The sequence below is a fragment of the Homo sapiens genome, chromosome 19 (genome assembly GCF_000001405.40).
Source record: "Homo sapiens chromosome 19, GRCh38.p14 Primary Assembly".
Taxonomy (NCBI): domain Eukaryota; kingdom Metazoa; phylum Chordata; class Mammalia; order Primates; family Hominidae; genus Homo; species Homo sapiens.
This window is the reverse complement of record NC_000019.10, coordinates 1650009-1665868: the sequence shown is the minus strand read 5'-3', so window position 1 is coordinate 1665868 and position 15860 is coordinate 1650009. Positions and strand designations below refer to the sequence as shown.

The 15860-nt window shown below is 57.5% G+C and overlaps 1 protein-coding gene across 50 annotated transcripts in view, besides 10 other annotated features; it reads left to right on the top strand.

The window, feature by feature from the left end:
• Positions 4593–4793: a silencer, noted in NCBI's record as "peak3223 fragment used in MPRA reporter construct". NCBI's record gives its function as "represses an SCP1 promoter by STARR-seq MPRAs in K562 erythroleukemia cells {active_cell/tissue: K562}" and the evidence as "EXISTENCE:reporter gene assay evidence [ECO:0000049][PMID:32103011]".
• Positions 12516–12625: an enhancer, noted in NCBI's record as "active region_13623". NCBI's record gives its function as "activates an Ori minimal core promoter by ATAC-STARR-seq in GM12878 lymphoblastoid cells {active_cell/tissue: GM12878}" and the evidence as "EXISTENCE:reporter gene assay evidence [ECO:0000049][PMID:35858748]".
• Positions 12746–12795: an enhancer, noted in NCBI's record as "active region_13622". NCBI's record gives its function as "activates an Ori minimal core promoter by ATAC-STARR-seq in GM12878 lymphoblastoid cells {active_cell/tissue: GM12878}" and the evidence as "EXISTENCE:reporter gene assay evidence [ECO:0000049][PMID:35858748]".
• Positions 13086–13135: a silencer, noted in NCBI's record as "silent region_9740". NCBI's record gives its function as "represses an Ori minimal core promoter by ATAC-STARR-seq in GM12878 lymphoblastoid cells {active_cell/tissue: GM12878}" and the evidence as "EXISTENCE:reporter gene assay evidence [ECO:0000049][PMID:35858748]".
• Positions 13146–13275: a silencer, noted in NCBI's record as "silent region_9739". NCBI's record gives its function as "represses an Ori minimal core promoter by ATAC-STARR-seq in GM12878 lymphoblastoid cells {active_cell/tissue: GM12878}" and the evidence as "EXISTENCE:reporter gene assay evidence [ECO:0000049][PMID:35858748]".
• TCF3 (transcription factor 3) overlaps positions 13254–15860 on the top strand; it is a 43324-nt gene continuing 40717 nt past the window's right edge. For 25 of the 50 annotated variants that reach the window (XM_047439298.1, XM_047439297.1, XM_047439296.1 and 22 more), the window contains exons 1-2: positions 13254–13569; positions 15582–15692. In XM_047439298.1, the coding sequence (XP_047295254.1) occupies positions 15621–15692 (72 nt within the window). In that variant the 5' untranslated portion in view covers positions 13254–13569; positions 15582–15620. Of the gene's footprint in view, positions 13570–13720; positions 15693–15860 lie in introns of those variants that run through there. The other 25 variants (XM_047439293.1, XM_047439292.1, XM_047439275.1 and 22 more) reach the window with 2 other exon arrangements.
• Positions 13806–13885: a silencer, noted in NCBI's record as "silent region_9738". NCBI's record gives its function as "represses an Ori minimal core promoter by ATAC-STARR-seq in GM12878 lymphoblastoid cells {active_cell/tissue: GM12878}" and the evidence as "EXISTENCE:reporter gene assay evidence [ECO:0000049][PMID:35858748]".
• Positions 13976–14205: a silencer, noted in NCBI's record as "silent region_9737". NCBI's record gives its function as "represses an Ori minimal core promoter by ATAC-STARR-seq in GM12878 lymphoblastoid cells {active_cell/tissue: GM12878}" and the evidence as "EXISTENCE:reporter gene assay evidence [ECO:0000049][PMID:35858748]".
• Positions 13976–14335: a biological region, named in NCBI's record as "ReSE screen-validated silencer GRCh37_chr19:1651633-1651855".
• Positions 14013–14235: a silencer, noted in NCBI's record as "fragment chr19:1651633-1651855 (GRCh37/hg19 assembly coordinates)". NCBI's record gives its function as "represses an EF-1alpha promoter that drives an FKBP-Casp9 reporter gene in an ReSE screen in K562 erythroleukemia cells {active_cell/tissue: K562}" and the evidence as "EXISTENCE:reporter gene assay evidence [ECO:0000049][PMID:32094911]".
• Positions 14216–14335: a silencer, noted in NCBI's record as "silent region_9736". NCBI's record gives its function as "represses an Ori minimal core promoter by ATAC-STARR-seq in GM12878 lymphoblastoid cells {active_cell/tissue: GM12878}" and the evidence as "EXISTENCE:reporter gene assay evidence [ECO:0000049][PMID:35858748]".

The following is a 15860-nucleotide window of genomic DNA, read 5'->3' as shown; positions in this document are numbered from 1 at the left end:
CAGGTAGCTGAGGTTACGAGGGGGCCATGCCCCCACCCAGACAGCCGGGGTGATAAGGAGGCCAGGCCTGATGGAGCAGGAGCTGGGGGGGACTAACAAGAGTCTGAAGCAAATAGAAAACCTGAGACCAAGCTTCAGGGGGTGGCTCCGGGGGGTCACATGACCCAGTATCTCCCGGGCAGCCCTTGGGGCCGTCCCTGGCCTCTGGAAAGGGGCCTCCCCTTCTCACACCCCTGCCACCTGCTGGGAGACCCAGAGGCCCAGCCTCTGCTAGGGGCCTCAGCAGCAGAGAGCACCTGCTCCTTCCCGGGCAGGACTGCCCTGTAGGGCTGTCTGGGACCAAGTCACTTTTGCCATCCTGAGTCCTTTCCTCTATTGAAAAAAAAAAGTAAAATTGAGACTAGAATTGTTATTATTAATTTATTATTATTATTATTTGAGACGGAGTCTCACTCTGTCACCTAGGCTGGAGTGCAGTGGCACGATCTCGGCTCACTGCAACTTCTGCCTCCCAGGTTCAAGCGATTCTCCTGCCTCAACCTCCCTAGTAGCTGGGATTACAGGCACCCACCACTACACCCAGCTAATTTTTGTATTTTTAGTAGAGACGGGGTTTCACCATGTTGGCCAGGCTGGTCTTGAACTCCTGACCTCATGATCCGTCCGCCTCGGCCTCCCAAAGCGCTGGGATTACAGGTGTGAGAGCCACTGTGCCCGGCCTTAATTCGTTATTATTATTGTTCATCGGAAAACAATTATTATTCATCATTTTTCTTCTGATTAAATTTTTTTTTCTTCCTGAGACAGGGTGTCACTCTGTCTCCCATCCTGCAGTGCAGTGACACAAACTTGGGTCACTGCAGCCTCAACCTCTTGGGCTCAAACCATCCTCCTGTCTGAGCCTCTCCAGTAGCTGGAATACAGGTGCCTGCCACCACGCCTGGCTTTTTGTTTTTTTGTTTCTGTTTTTGTTTTTTTTTGAGACGAGGTCTCGCTGTATTGCCCAGGCTGGTCTCAAACTCCTGGGCTCAAGCGATCTTCCCGCCTCAGCCTCCCAAAGTGTTAGGATTACAGGTGTGAGCCACACAGTGCCCGGCCCTGATTTTAAAAGAAATTAAAACATTTTTGGCCAGATATGGTGGTTCATGCCTGTAATCCCAGCACTTTGAGAGGCTGAAGCAGGTGGATCACCTGAGGTCAGGGGTTTGAGACCAGCCTGACCAACATGGTGAAACCCCATCTCTAGTAAAAATACAAAAATTAGCCAGGCATGGTAGTGGGCACCTGTAATCTCAGCTACTTGGGAAGCTGAGGCAGAAGAATTGCTTGAACCTGGGAGGCAGAGTTTGCAGCGAGCCGAGATTGTGCCATCACACTGCAGCCTGGGTAACAGAGCAAGACTCTGCAACAAAGGAAGAAAGAAAGAAAGAAAGAAAAAGAGACAGAGAGAGAGGGAGGGAGGGGAGGGGAGGGGGGAGGGGAGGGAGGGAAGGGAAAGAAGAGAAAGAAAGAGAGAGAAAGAGAGAAAGAAAAGAAGGAAGGGAGGAAGGGAGGGAGAGAGGGAGGGAAGGAGGGAGGGAGGAAGGAAGACAGACATTTTCATGGGCCCTAAAAGCCTCCGGGGCCTGGGCCTGTTGCGTTCGATGGACAGATTGAACTCACCCTGGTGGGTGCTCTTGTTAAACTCCTTTGACAGATGAGAGCTCACACCATCGTGTGACCACAACCACAGTGGACTCGCTGAGCAGTGCTCCTTGCCCTGAGCTCAAGCTCACGATCAACCTGGTGGGGCCTCCCCAGGACACCAGGGGTTTCCCCCAGGGAACCCTGGGACAGCAAGAGGCCTCCCCACCCCCAGGGAAATGCCCGGGCAGTGCGGATCCTGCAGGAGGAGGGGGTGCCCCGGTGGAAGCCCACCCACGCCCGTTCTGTGGTTCTGCAATCTCAGTCATGCAGCATCTATGGTGAGGTGAAAAACTAAACATTCTTTAATTTTAAAAAGCGGCCGGGACCAGGGCACAGTGGCTCATGCCTGTAATCCCAGCACTTTCGGAGGCCGAGGTGGGGCTGATCACCTGAGGTTGGGAGTTCGAGACCAGCCTGACCAACATGGAGAAACCCCGTCTCTACTAAAAATACAAAATTAGCTGGGCGTGGTGGTGGGCGCCTGCAATCTCAGCTACCAGGGAGGCTGAGGCAGGAGAATCGATTGAACCCGGGAGGTGGAGGTTGCAGTGAGCTGAGATCACGCCATTGCACTCCAGCCTGGGCAACAAGAGCAAAACTCCGTCTCAAAAAAAAAAAAAGCGGGGTGGCGGGGGTCCGGGCATGGTGGCTCATGCCTGTAATCCCAACACTTTGGAAGGCCAAAATGAGAGGATGGCTTGAGTCCAGAGGTTGGAGACCAGCCTGGGCAACATAGCAAGATCCCGTCTCTACAAACAAAATAAAGAAAAATTAGCCAGGTGTGGTGGTACATGCCTGCAGTCCCAGCTACTTGGGAGGCTAAGGATGGAGGATGGCTTGATCCCAGGAGTTTGAGGCTACAGTGAGCCATGATCGTGCTACTACACTCCAGCCTGGGTAACAGAGTAAGACCCCATCTTTTTTTTTTTTTTTTTTTTTTTTTTTTGAGACACAGTTTCACTCTGTTGCCCAGGCTGGAGTGCAGTGGCGCAATCTCCGCTCACTGCAACCTCTGCCTTCCAGTTTCAAGCGATTCTGCTACCTCAGCCTCCTGAGTAACTGGGATTACAGGCGCCCCCCACCCCCGCCCACCACGCCCAGCTAATTTTTTTTTTTTTTTTTTGAGATGGAGTCTCATTCTGTCACCCAGGCTGGAGTGCAATGGCGCGATCTCAGCTCACTGCAACCTCCACCTCCCGGGTTCAAGCGATTCTCCTGCCTCAGCCTCCCGAGTAGCTAGGACTACAGGCGCCCGCCACCATGCCCGGCTAATTTTTTGTATTTTTAGTAGAGACGAGGTTTCACCATGTTGGCGAAGATGCTCTCGATCTCTTGACCTTATGATCCACCTGCCTCGGCCTCCCAAAGTGCTGTGATTACAGGCGTGAGCCACCACGCCCAGCTGAGACCCCATCTCTTAAAAAAAAAAAATTAAAACTAAAAAACATAAAATACACACAAAGATAAACCATCATCTTAGAACATGAAGATGAAGTGGATGCTGGCAGTCTTTTTTTTTTTTTTTTTTTTTTGAGAGGGAATCTCACTCTGTCACACAGGCTAGAGTGCTGTGGCACAATCTCAGCTCACTGCAGCCTCTGCCTCCTGGGTTCAAACGATTCTCCCACCTCAGCTTCCTGAGTAGCTGAGACTACAGGTGCCCACACCACCATGCCTGGCTAATTTTTGTATTTTTAGCAGAGGGGGGTTTCGCCATGCTGGCCAGGCTGATCTCAAACTCCTGGCCTGAAATGATCGGCCCACCTTGTCCTCCCAAAGTGCTGGGATGACAGGTGTGAGCCACCGTGCCCGGCCCCTGGCAGTATTTATTCAATGTCTCCAGGACAGCAGCTCTCCTGTCAGCCTCACCTTCCAAATATTCTGTGGCCTTGTATCCAGTGGCCATTTGCATTTCTTCTTGTATGAATTAATCATTCATTTCTTTACATGGTTTTCTTTTTGAGTTTTTTCTTATTGATTTGTTGGAACTCTTTGTATATGAAGAACCCAAATCCTTTGCCTCTTATGATGTTGCAAGTGACATTCCAACTGAGCTTCACGCATGTGGCCTTATGCATATTGTCAAAATGAAATTTTTTTTAAGAGGCAAGGTCTCGGTCTATCCCCCAGGCTGGAGTGCAGTGGCACAATCATAGCTCACTGCAGCCTCCAACTCCTGGACTCAAGGGATCCTCCCACTTCAGCCTCCCTAGTAGCTGGGACTACAGTTGCACACCACCATGCCTGGCTAATTTTATTTATTAATTTATGGTAGAGATGGGGTATTGCTATGTTGCCCAGGCTGGTCTCGAACTCCTGGACTCAAGCAATCCTCCCACTTTGACCTCCCGAAGGGCTGGGATTACAGGCGTGAACCACCACTCCCGGCCCCCAAAACAAACATTTTCAACCAAGGAAAAGAGAAAATAATGTCCAATGTAAACTCTCAAGCTAATCCTGCCTCTTCAAAAGATAAAGTAAGGGCCGGGCGCAGTGGCTCACGCCTGTAATCCCAGCACTTTAGGAGGCCAAGGCGGGTGGATCACGAGGTCAGCAGATGGAGACCATCCTGGCTAACTCGGTGAAACCCCGTCTGTACTAAAAATACAAAAAATTAGCCGGGCATGGTGGCGGGCACCTGTAGTCCCAGCCACTCGGGAGGCTGAGGCAGGAGAATGGCGTGAACCCGGGAGGCGGAGCTTGCAGTGAGCCGAGATCGCGCCACCGCACTCCAGCCTGGGCGACAGAGTGAAAAAAAAAAAAAAAAAAAAGATAAAGTAAGAACTGAAAGTGTCCCCCACCCCCAGAGTAACCACCAAGCCCTTGGGGCATTTCCTCCTGCACTTTTTCAATATGCTTTTTTCCTTTACAAAAGCTTCAACCAAAAGTGGCATGGCGGGTCTTTAACTTGTATTTCATTCCCCCAGAGAGGCGGCCTCAGGCGTCTCTTGGCTCCAAGCAGGCACGGGAACCTGACTTGCTGGACGGTCAACAGTCGGGTTCCTAGTGCAGCCATGACAGAATCTTCTTCTACAGCCCTTGTTGTTGGACACTTGGGCAGTTTTCAAATCAAGTGTTCTGTGCCACAAACCACGTTCTAATGCACAGCCCTGCTCATGCCGTCACGTTTTGTCTTGTTTTTAAAAAACGGCCTTGGCATGGGTGAGCAGTGGTCATGCCACCATTTTTATTAGATTTATTAGTTTGGTTTTTTTTTTTTTTTTTTGAGACAGAGTCTTGCTCTGTCACCCAGGCTGGAGTGCAGTGGCGCCATCTCGGCTCACTGCAAGCTCCGCCTCCCGGGTTCACGCCATTCTCCTGCCTCAGCCTCCCGAGTAGCTGGGACTACAGGTGCCCGCCACCACGCCTGGCTGATTTTTTGTATTTTTAGTAGAGATGGGGATTCACCATATCAGACAGGATGGTCTCGATCTCCTGACCTCGTGATCTGCCCGCCTCAGCCTCCCAAAGTGCGAGGATTATACAGGCATGAGCCACCGCGCCCGGCCCATTTGTATCTTTTTCACCAAGAGTGACTTTAGGTTTTTTATTCGTCTGTGTATCCAGTGGCCATTTTAATTTTTTCCTGTATGAATTAATCACTCATTTCTTTGCATGGTTTCTTTTTTTTTTTGAGTTTTTTCCTTATTGATTTGTTGGAACTCTTTGTATACGAAGAGCCCAAACCCTTTGTCTGTTATGATGTTGCAAATAGTTTCTCCCTAGCTTTCTCATCTCATCTAACTTCATTGTGAGTCTGTGACCACACAAAAGTGTTTAATTTTTATGTAGTCGAAAAACTTTTTTTTTTTTTTTTTTGAGTCAGAGTCTCATTCTTGTGTCCCAGGCTGGAATGCAGTGGCATGATCTCGGCTCACTGCAACCTCTTCCTTCCAGGTTCAAGTAATTCTCCTGCCTCAGCCTCCAAGTAGCTCGGATTACAGGCGCCTGCCTCTGTGCTCGGCTAATTTTTGTATTTTTAGTACAGAGTGGATTTCATCATGTTGGCCAGGCTGATCTCGAACTCCTGATCTCAAGTGATCTGCCCACCTCGGCCTCCCAAAGCGCTAGGATAACAGGCGTGAGCCATCATACCCAGCCTAAAAAACATTTTTTTTTTTGAGTCTGAGTCTCGTTCTGTTGCCCAGGCTGGAGTGCAGTCACACAACCATGGCTCAATGCAGCCTCAACCTCCCCAGACTCAGGTGATCCTCCTGCCTCAGCCTCCAGAGTAGCCGGGACTACAGGCACATGCCACCAGGCCCGGCCTAATTTTTGTATTTTTTTTGTAGAGATGGTGGTCTCGCTATGTTGCCAAGGTTGGCCTCAACCTCCTGGCCTCAAGTGATCCCGCCGCCTTGGCCTCCCAAAGTGCTGGGAATACAGACATGAGCTGCCGTGTCTGGCCTGTGTGGTCAAATTTGAAGAATTTTCTCCTTGCATGGTTCTGGATTTTGTATCTTCTCTATGCCTGAAAAGGACAAGGGGGCTGGGTGTGGGGCCAACCTTTGCTGAGCCTCTTCTGATCCCAGCACCTCCTGCTCACCCTCTCCTGTCTCACACGCAGCCACCCCCAGCTGTTAGAAAACTGCCGACCAAGGCCGGGCACAGTGGCCCACACCTGGAATCCCAGAACTTTGGGAGGCCAAGGGGGGTGGATCACCTGAGGTCAGAGAAGTTCAAGACCAGCCTGGCCAACATGGTGAAACCCCGTCTCTAATAAAAACACAAAAAATTAGCTGGGCGTGGTGGCAGGCACCTGTAATTCCAGCTTCTCAGGAGACTGAGGCAGGAAAATTGCTTGAACCCAGGGGGCAAAGATTGCAGTGAGCCAAGATGGCACCATTGCACTCCAGCCTGGGCAACAAGAGCGAAACTCTGTCTCTGGAAACAAACAAACAAACAAACAAACAAACAAACAAACAAACAAAGCAAGGAAGGCTCCCCGGAGGAGGTGGCCCCCAAGCTGAGGGTGGAAGGATGAGGAAGAGAAGACAGCCAGGTACAAAGAGAGGAAAGTTGTTCCAGGAGAGGACACAGCCAGGAAACAGGCCCAGAAACCAACAGGCGCTTGGAGGGACAACCAGGAGTGGCGGAGACGGGGAGGTGGGCAGGGACTTTCGGGCTCTGGGCAGCAGCAAGACATACAATGTCTGTGGAGTGCAGGGCCGGTCTGACGGAGGGAGGGAGGGGCGAGGGCAGGGTCCCGGATCCAGACAGGATGGCCCGGATGGGGGTGGGTGGCACATCCATCAGTGCCACCCGCCCCCGCCCCCTGGCCCTCGGCCCAAACCCAGGGAACAACTTGCATTTCCTCGTCTCGTAGCTTTTGCCTCTGCTGTTCCCTCTGCTCAGTTACCCTTCCTCCCTGTTCCAGCTTTGCAGGCTCAGCTCCAGGCAGCCATCCCTGCAGCCCCCAAGCCCTGAGTCTCCTCCTGAGTCTAGTTCTCACCCCTTGGGGTTGGGGGCACCTGTGCTCCCCGCCCTCCTAGGATCCTTGTCGTCTTTCCCCAGGGGCGCCCCCCCAGTTTCCCGTCTAACAGGCATCTCTTTCCACCCCTCCTGTTGCCTTGGGCATCCCACTCCACAGCCACGTCACCGGCCTCCACCTCGGTCTCCCAGATGCCCTTCCCAACCCCCAGTGAGACCACGTGGCCCCCTCGGCTCCTCCAAACCCGCGAATGAAACCCAACCTTCTTAGCGTGGCAAGGCGTCCCTGGATGGCTTCTGACCTCCCAGCCTTTGTGCCAGAGGGCTGACAGCCTGGAGTGGCCTCCCCCGTTTCTGGAAGGCACCAGGTGCAGGTGAAGGAGCCTGGCGGGGTGAGGTGGGGTCGGTGGGGGACAGGACAGGTGGGCCGGGGATGGGAGCCTGGCTCAGCTTCAGGCATGAGGCCACTTGAGTCCTGCCTCGGTTTCCCCATCTGAACAATGGGATGACGTCCTCTGTGCCTTGAGCAAAGTTCAGGGGAGGTGAAGACCCCCGGGAAGAAGGGAGATGCCCCCATTGTGCCCAGGGTACACTGCAGAGGCGCCGTCCCCCCATGTCAAGGCGGGTGCAGGTCAGCAGGGCTGCCTGTGGGCAGGTGCATGGGTGGCGGGAACTGAGAATCTGGCTGGGCTCCCTGTCCCCTGCCCTGCCCCCGCCTCGGGGTAACTGGGCCAAACAATGCCCCATGGGGGGTGATGGGCAGGCGCCCTGTGTTTGCACGGGCGGCCCCGGAATGTGGCAGGACAGGCCCCCGGGGGCCCCTGAGTCAGGAGCTGTGGGCGCCTGGCCAAGAGGGGGTGGGACCATCCTCGGCAGTTGGCCCTGGCCCTGGGGTGGACGGGCACCCGGCAGGTGCAGAGGGGCTGCGTGGGGGGCTCGGACAGAAGGAGGGCTCGGGGAGGCCAGGCTGCATCCAGAGCTGGGCTCCCCCCGACTGGGGACTGTGCCTTCTTCACTGGTGCCCCCTCTCACGCAGCCCCTCCTGGCCATGACCCGCCTTGTCTCATGGGGCCTGGACACCACCCTGGGACATGAGCCTCCTGTTCCCCCTTCACGCCTCTCCCTTGACCCACGCTGGCCCCACTCAGAGAACGATACCACCATTCACAGGCCCAGGTCCCTAACCCCACACCTAGTAGGCAGGCTGCTAACCCCTCATACCCACCCCCTGGGAGAGCCCTCAGTTATCCTCCAAATGTACCCCAGATCCACCCCAACTCATGGTCCCTGTGATCACGTCCGTCTCTTGCTCAAACTCCCACCATGGTTCCCTAGTCCTCTCACCATGAAGACCCAATTCCTCCCTGTGGCATAGGAGGCCCTGCCCCTCTCTCTGATCTTGGCTCCTCTTCTCTGGTCTTCTCTGGGCTCCAGCCTCACAGGCCCCGTTCCTTGAACACCCCACACCCCCTCCCACCTCAGTACCTTTGTCCCTCAGCTTCCCCTGCCTGGCATGGTATCCGCTCTCTGCCTGTCGACCGCATGCATCTTGAGGTCATAGCCCAAGAGTCACTGCCCCAGGGGACCCACTCCCTGTGGGAGATGGTCCTTCTTCCCCTGAATGCCCTACAGCAGGAGGTGTGAGGCTGTGTTCCCATTCCCGTCAACCTCAGAGCCTCCTGCCCAGCTCTCCTGGCCCTCTGGCTCCCATAAGTCTGGGTGGAGGGGTAGGGGTCTGATCACCGACAAGCCTCTTCCCTTCCTTGGTGTCCTCATAGCTGGAAGTGCCCGAGGAGTCAGGAACCCTTGTGATCAGACCCCAGGAACTGGAGTGTGTCCCCACTGCTCCATTTCACACCAGAATCTCCTCCCTCCGCTAGGGGAGAACAATCATAAGCCCCTAGCACTCCCAATCTCAGGAGGCTTCCCTGCCCAGGTCCAACCAGCAAGCCTGGAGACGCCTCCTCCCAGAAGGCAGGAAGAATGGGGCCGGGTGTGGTGGCTCATGCTGGTAAGCCCATCACTTTGGGTAGGCCAAGGCAGGAAGATCGCTTGAGGCCAGGAGTTCTAGACCAGCCTGGGCGACAGGGTGAAACCCCGTCTCTATAAAAAAATACAAAAATTAGCCAGGCGTGGCAGTGGGCACCTATAATCCCAGCTACTCAGGAGGCTGAGGCAGGAGAATCGCTTGACCCCAGGAGGTGGAGGTTGTAGTGAGCTGAGCTGGCACCACTGCCCTCCAGCCTGGACGACAGAGTGAGATTTCATCTAAAAAAAAAAATTTTTTTTTAAGAGATGGGGTCTTGCTGTGTTGTCCAGTCTGGTCTCAAACTCCTGGGCTCAAGCGATCCTTCCACCTCACCCCATCTCTGCTAAAATAAAATAAAAACGAAGTTGTGGAGAATAAGGGAATGGGCCCTACCCTGGCCGAGTCCCAGCCCAGGGCTCTGTGGGGTGGTCCTGATCTGGTCGTGTTGGGATCAGGCCCCTCACTGGAGGTCTGAGCTCGAGCAGGAAGCCCCCACTTTGGGAGGCGACACCGATCGCCCCAGCTGCCCGTGCTCAGTGGACGCCGGAGCGAGGTTTGTCCCAGGGCCTGACGTGGGTGATAAGTGCTGGGCCGCCACTCCCTTCTCCGCCCCTGCTGGAGGGCGCTGGGGGTTGGGGGAGTGTGTTCATACCCTGGGAGAAGTCAAAGGTGCCCACTTTAGGGACAAATGGAAACAGAAATCTGGAGGGTGGCCCCGAAGTCCTAATCCAAGCCCAGTCTCTCTGCGGACAGCTGTGGCCTGCACACCTACTGCGTCTGTCTCTGGAAACCTCGCCATCGCCGCCCCTCGCCCCCCTCGCTTCTGTGTCTCCCTAGTGGGAAGTTGTCCTTGGCCTCAGTTTTTCTGACATACGTGGTTCATGTTGGCGGGGGCGCACACAGTAGGTGTGGAGGGAACAGGCGGCAGGTGCAGAGGCCCTGCTCCTCCTCCTGCCCGGCCCCAGAGCAAAACAAAGGCCACAGTCAGGAGGATAGCTTGCTGCCTGTCCCCGTACCAGGGCCCTGGAGGGAGCACCCAGGCCTCGGGGCTGGGCAGAGGTGGTGGCCAAGTGGGGGGCCCCCACGGGCTGCTCCACCCAGTGACTCAGCCCCAGGACTGACCTCCTTGGGGAAAACAATGGTGGCTTGTGGTTACCAGCGGAACCTCCTGGCAGGCGCGAGCCCCAGGGTGCCCTGGGGCCCAGGGAGGAGACCCCTAGTCTCAGTTTCCTCATCTGTACGATACGTGGAACCACACAGGCAGGAGGACCTCACAGGAAAGAGCCACATTCAGGACTAGACAAGGGGTCCCTCATGGGTCATCCTGCCGGGACAGCAGGGACTGAGTCCATCACTGTCCACAGTGCTACGATGCGCGGCACAAGGCCCCGTTCGCTGTCAGTGCCCGATAATTGAATAGTCTTGTACGGCGCAGTGGCACACGCCTGTAATCCCAGCACTCTGGGAAGCCAAGGCGGGAGGATCACTTGTGCCTAGGAGTTCAAGACCAGCCTGGGCAACATAGGGAGAACCCCGTCTCTACAAAAAATACAAAATTAGCTGGGTGTGGTGGCGCGTGCCTGTGGTCCCAGCTACTCGGGAAACTGAGGCGGGAGGATCGTTTGAGCCCAGGAGGTCAAGGCTGCAGTGAGCTGTGATCTCACCACTGCACTCCAGCCTGGGCAACAGAGCGAGACTCTTTCTCAAAATAATAATAATAATAATAAGAAGAAGAAGAAGAAGAAGAAGAAGAAGAAGAAGTCCGTGATTGGATGGTTGCTTCCCTTCCGTGGGTGAAACTGAAGGGCTCCTCGGGAGGACTCCGGCTGCCACACTATGGCTTGGACCCTGAGTGTGGGTGGGGAGTGGCCCACAGTGAGCTCCCTACACTGGAATGGGGAGAGCCAGACCCGGCCACAGACACCCTCAGACCCATGGGGTCAGGGCTGGGCCACAAGGAAGGGCCGGGGGCTGAGGAGGCTGGGGTGGGATTGGAGCTGCTTGGAGACCCTGGCTCCGGAGAGGCCTCTGCGGGGGTGGGGGGCGGCTGAGGAAGGCAGGCATCAGCTGTGAGCACCTACTGTGTGCCAGACTCCCCCCTTCCACTGTCCAGATGGAGAAACCGAGGCCCGGAGAGTAGCACGAACTTGCCTGAGGTCACAGTGAGGTGGAGAGGGATGAGGGATTTGCAGCACAGACCCTGGGACCCACAGCCCTCTCCCCAGACCTGCGGCACGTGGAACTCTCTGGGCACGGAGGGTCGGACTGTGGACAGCCCAGTTTGGGTGTATAGCAGGAGGGGCTTGTGGCTTTGGTGGGGGGCCCCTGTGGCCCCGCCTCCCCGCCGGCCTGGCATAGGTGCAGCATTGAACTGTGATGACTCAGGGGCTCCAGATAGGGGTGGGAAAAGCCTCCCAGGTAGAGGACAAAGCAAACGTAGAGGCCCGGGGTGGGGATGAGCTTAGCAAGTTCTGGACCATCCAGAGGGCAGGATGGCTGGAGCCAAGCGGGCCAGCGAGATGGTGGCATCTTCCCAGGCTGGGAGTGGAGTGTAAATTTCCCTTTGGGGCCCCAGGGAGCCCTGGGAGATTGTGTTATTTTCATTTATTTGTTTAGTTATTTTACTTTTTTTTTTGAGACGGAGCCTCGTTCTGTCGCCCAGCCTGGAGTGCAGTGCTGCGATCTCTGCTCACTGCAACCTCTGCCTCCTGGGTTTAAGCGATTCTCCTGCCTCAGCTTCCCGAGTAGCTGAGATTATAGGTGTATGCCACCACGCCCAGCTAATTTTTGTATTTTTATTTTATTTTACTTATTTATTTATTTATTTTGAGACGGAGTTTCGTCCTTGTTGCCCAGGCTGGAGTACAATGGCGTGCTCTCGGCTCATTGCAACCTCCGCCTTTCGGGTGAAAGCGATTCTGCTGCCTCAGCCTCCCGAGTAGCTAGGACTACAGGTGCCCGCCACCATGCCCGGCTAATTTTTGTATTTTTAGTAGAGATGGGGTTTCACCGTGTTGGCCAGAGAGGTCTCGAACTCCTGACTTCAGGTGATCTGCCCGCCTTGGCCTCCCAAAGTGCTGGGAATACAAGCGTGGGCCACCGCGTCCGGTCAACTTTTTAAATTATTATTTTAAATTATTTTAAATATTTTTAGAGACGGGTGTGGGTGGGGGGGGTTTCACTATGTTGTTCAGGCTGTTCTCGAACTCCTGGCCTCAAGCGATCTTCCCGCCTCGGCCTCCTTCAAAGCGCTGGGATCACAGGCAGGAGCCACGGCGCCCGATCCTAGGCGGGGTCACTTTTTACTAAAATGTAGACACGGACTACTAAGAATCAGGAAGCCAGATCTGGCCTGAGTTCTGTCCAAAGTCAGGTCCAAATTCACAGATGCCGAGACGGAGACTCAAGTCGGCAAAGGCACCGCTGAGACTCCCCGCGGGGCTCTCTGACCCAGAGCCGGAGCCAGAGTCGGTTTTCCCGCCGGGAAAATGGGTCTGACGTAGCCCCCTCGGGGCCGTGATACCCGCTCGCACCACTCAGCACGCGGGGCCGGCCCGAGGAACGCAAATATAACCAAGCAGAAGGCTCCGCGCGGGCGGCCACGCCAACCTGAGAACAAAACTCCAGGACCCACCCCGGCCGCCTCTCGCGGCCTCTCGCTCGCAGAGTCCCGCCTCTGCTGAGGGGCGGGGCCGAGAAGAAAGGAGGCGGGGCCTCACCACGAATGGCTAGGATCCCCGCCCATCAGACTTTCGCGGCTTCCGATTGACCAGACTGCTCTGCCTTAGCTTTCAATCTCACGGGCCTTACTCGCTTGCGTCATGGACTAAGCGCACAGCTCGTGTGTGCTTCCGCGGACGGGGATAGTCCGTGATTTCTCCCCGCGCCGTGGCCCGACCGCCTCCTCTGCGCGTCCCCGCTCCCAGGCTCTGGACCTCACGGGATTCGGGGTCCTCACGAGGGTGCTCGAGAGGCCGAGCTAGGGCGTTCGGGCCCGAGCCGCCCGGAGGTGGCGGAGGGATCCGCGTGGGCCGCCGGGCGGGGCACTCGGGGGCGGGGCAGGGGCGGGGCCTGCACGGGGCGGGGCGGGGCGGCGCGGGCGGGGGGCGGAACATGTCTCCCGCCGCAGGAAGATGAGGCAGCGGCGGCGGCTGCGGGCGTAGCGGGCCGGAGCCGACGCGGCGGCGGGCACCGCGGGCACCGCGCACGCCGCTGCCCCAGGGGCGCCCCGGCCGGCCGCGCGCACGGGCCCCGCGGGACGGGCCACGCGGGGGTGGGAGGGGCCCGGGCCACGCGCGCCGCCGCCGCCGCCCACGCGCGACCCTCGGGGGCCCGGCCGCGACGCACCTTTGTCCGGGGGGGGGCCCCCCCGCTTCATGCCGCCGCCCCCCCCCACGCGCCGCGTGCCCGGCCGCGCCCAGCAGGTGAGCCCGGCGGGGGGCGGGGGGCGCGCCCGGTACCCCCGTGCTTTGTGCCCAGGGAACCCCGGCCCGCCCCGCGCGCGCTTGTTGGGGGGGGGCGCGGAGGAAGTTGGGGCGGGGGCGGTGTCGGGGGGCGCCCCGCGGCCCGGGAGTCATTGTTCTCCAACTTCGCGCGGCGCCGGGGGGGCGGCGACGTGGAGGAGCCCGGAGCTCGCCAGGCCCGCGTCGCCCCCGTCGGGCCGGGCACTTCGGGAAACTTTAAGCAGCCCCGGGCGGGGGCGCGGGGGGCGCCGGACGGGCTGTGCAACTTAGGCGCGAGGACCGTCCCCCCCAGCCCGGGCGCACGGGGACCCCGGGGCGCCCCCTTTCTCGGGTAGAGGGGGGCCCGGCCCGGGCGCCGGAGTTTGGGGTGGGGAGCGCGCGGGAGGGACGTCCTTTTGTCTGCGCGGGGAAGGTGCCGCGCGCTGCAGGCGCTGGTCGGGGCCGGGCGGGCCGGGGGGGGGCGCGCGGGTAACATCTGCTCCGCGTTAATGCGGGGCGAGGCGGCGGCCGCGCTGCGAGCTTCAAAGGCTCCCGGGCCGCACCGCCTGCACCGGCTGCGGGGGGAGGGGGGTCCGGCTTCCCGGGCCGCCTCCCCCCGGGAAAAAGGCGTTCCAGCGCGCCCCCCGCCTTCGGCGCCGTGCAAAGTGGCTTCAAACATTCTCCAAGTCTCTCAAAGTCCTTGGGACGCCCCAGAAGTCTTCCAGCTCCCGTAGAATGCCCGTTTTAGCTCGCCACCCCCCCAACTAAGTCTGTCTTAAAATCGGTTTCAGCTACCCCACAAAAAAGTGCGGTTTCGTAGTCCTCAAAAAAAGTCAGTTTCACACGCCCTCCAAAAAAGAAAAAAACTGAGCGGGGGAGGGGCTGCGCTGGGGCGCCCGCTTCACACCCGGCCTCCAGTTGGCAGACAAAGAGGGGATTTCTCTGCTTCTGAAGTTGGGTCTCCCTCGACCTCGGAGGCTCCTCCCCACCCCCAGCCTCGGAGGTGTCTCCCGGGCTGCCCCCGTCCCCACCTGGGGACCCCTGGGGAAAGTCGAGACTGGAGGGGCCTGGAGTGCATTTCTTTGGAATGGAAATTTTTCTCTGTACCTTTTTCTGGGGGTGGAATGGGTCTTGGCAGGTGGATCCCCCATCCCCCATCTTAGAATGGAGCCCCCTGGGACCACGCGGGAGCACCCTGGTCTTGAGACGCTCTCCCCGCTCATGGAGGGCAGGCAAGGGATGTTGTCAAAGTTTTGCTTAAAAATAATTCCCGGATACATCGCGACAGTAAAGCAATCTAGGGCTGTTTTTTTTTTCTTTCCTGAATACTGTTGGGGTTTTCTTGGGGGGAGGGAGATTGAGGGTGGAGGAAAGCTTTGCTGGTCCCTGCATAGGATGCGCGTCCCCCCCACCCCCGGCACTTTAAGTCTTGAAGCTTGTAAAAGAGTTTCGTGGTTTTCTGACTTGTGGATTTCCTTCATGTTGAATTTGGGGGCGACCTGGTCTTCAACGGGCTGTGCCATCTGCTGGGGGAGGGGGGAATCACCAAATTTCCCTCGGGGCGGGGTAGGATCGGGCTGTTCCTCCCTTTCCCGGGGGTAGGGGGCCTCAGAGGAAGCCCGGGGTTGGTTGGAAATGAGAGAGTTGGAGAAAGGAGAGGTTCTGGCTGCCCTGCGTGCAGTTTAAACTTGGCAACTTGATGCCCTGGTGTTCCCTGGGGGAGTTAGGGAGTTTATATTTGCACACCCTCCCCCCATTTTTCAGACTCCCTGTGGTCTCTGGGGAGGACTCTGCAGGGACCTAGACTCTGGAATTCCAGCTTCCCTGCGCCTGCTCCCAGGGCTCCCCGTGCCCCCAGGGCTCTGCTGGAACTCAGACCCCAGGGCGGTTGAGGGTTTTTTAGGTGGCTTTTAGCACTCTGTGCTTTGACCACTCACAACTCTTCTCCCCTCCCTGTTTCTCCCTGTCCATCTGTCCCCACATCCACCAAGCAGGGTTTCCAGGCCTGAGGTGCCCGCCCTGGCCCCAGGAGAATGAACCAGCCGCAGAGGATGGCGCCTGTGGGCACAGACAAGGAGCTCAGTGACCTCCTGGACTTCAGCATGGTGAGCCAGGACCCCCGCCCAGCCCCCGACACCCCTTTGCCTCCACAGTTCACGGGAAGGTTTTCAGGGGAGAGTGTTTGCTGAATACTTCAGCGATGGAGCCTCAGCTGTTTGGATGGGAGGCCCCGGTGGGGCTGGGGGAGTGGGCCGCTCTCTGGCAGGAGGCTG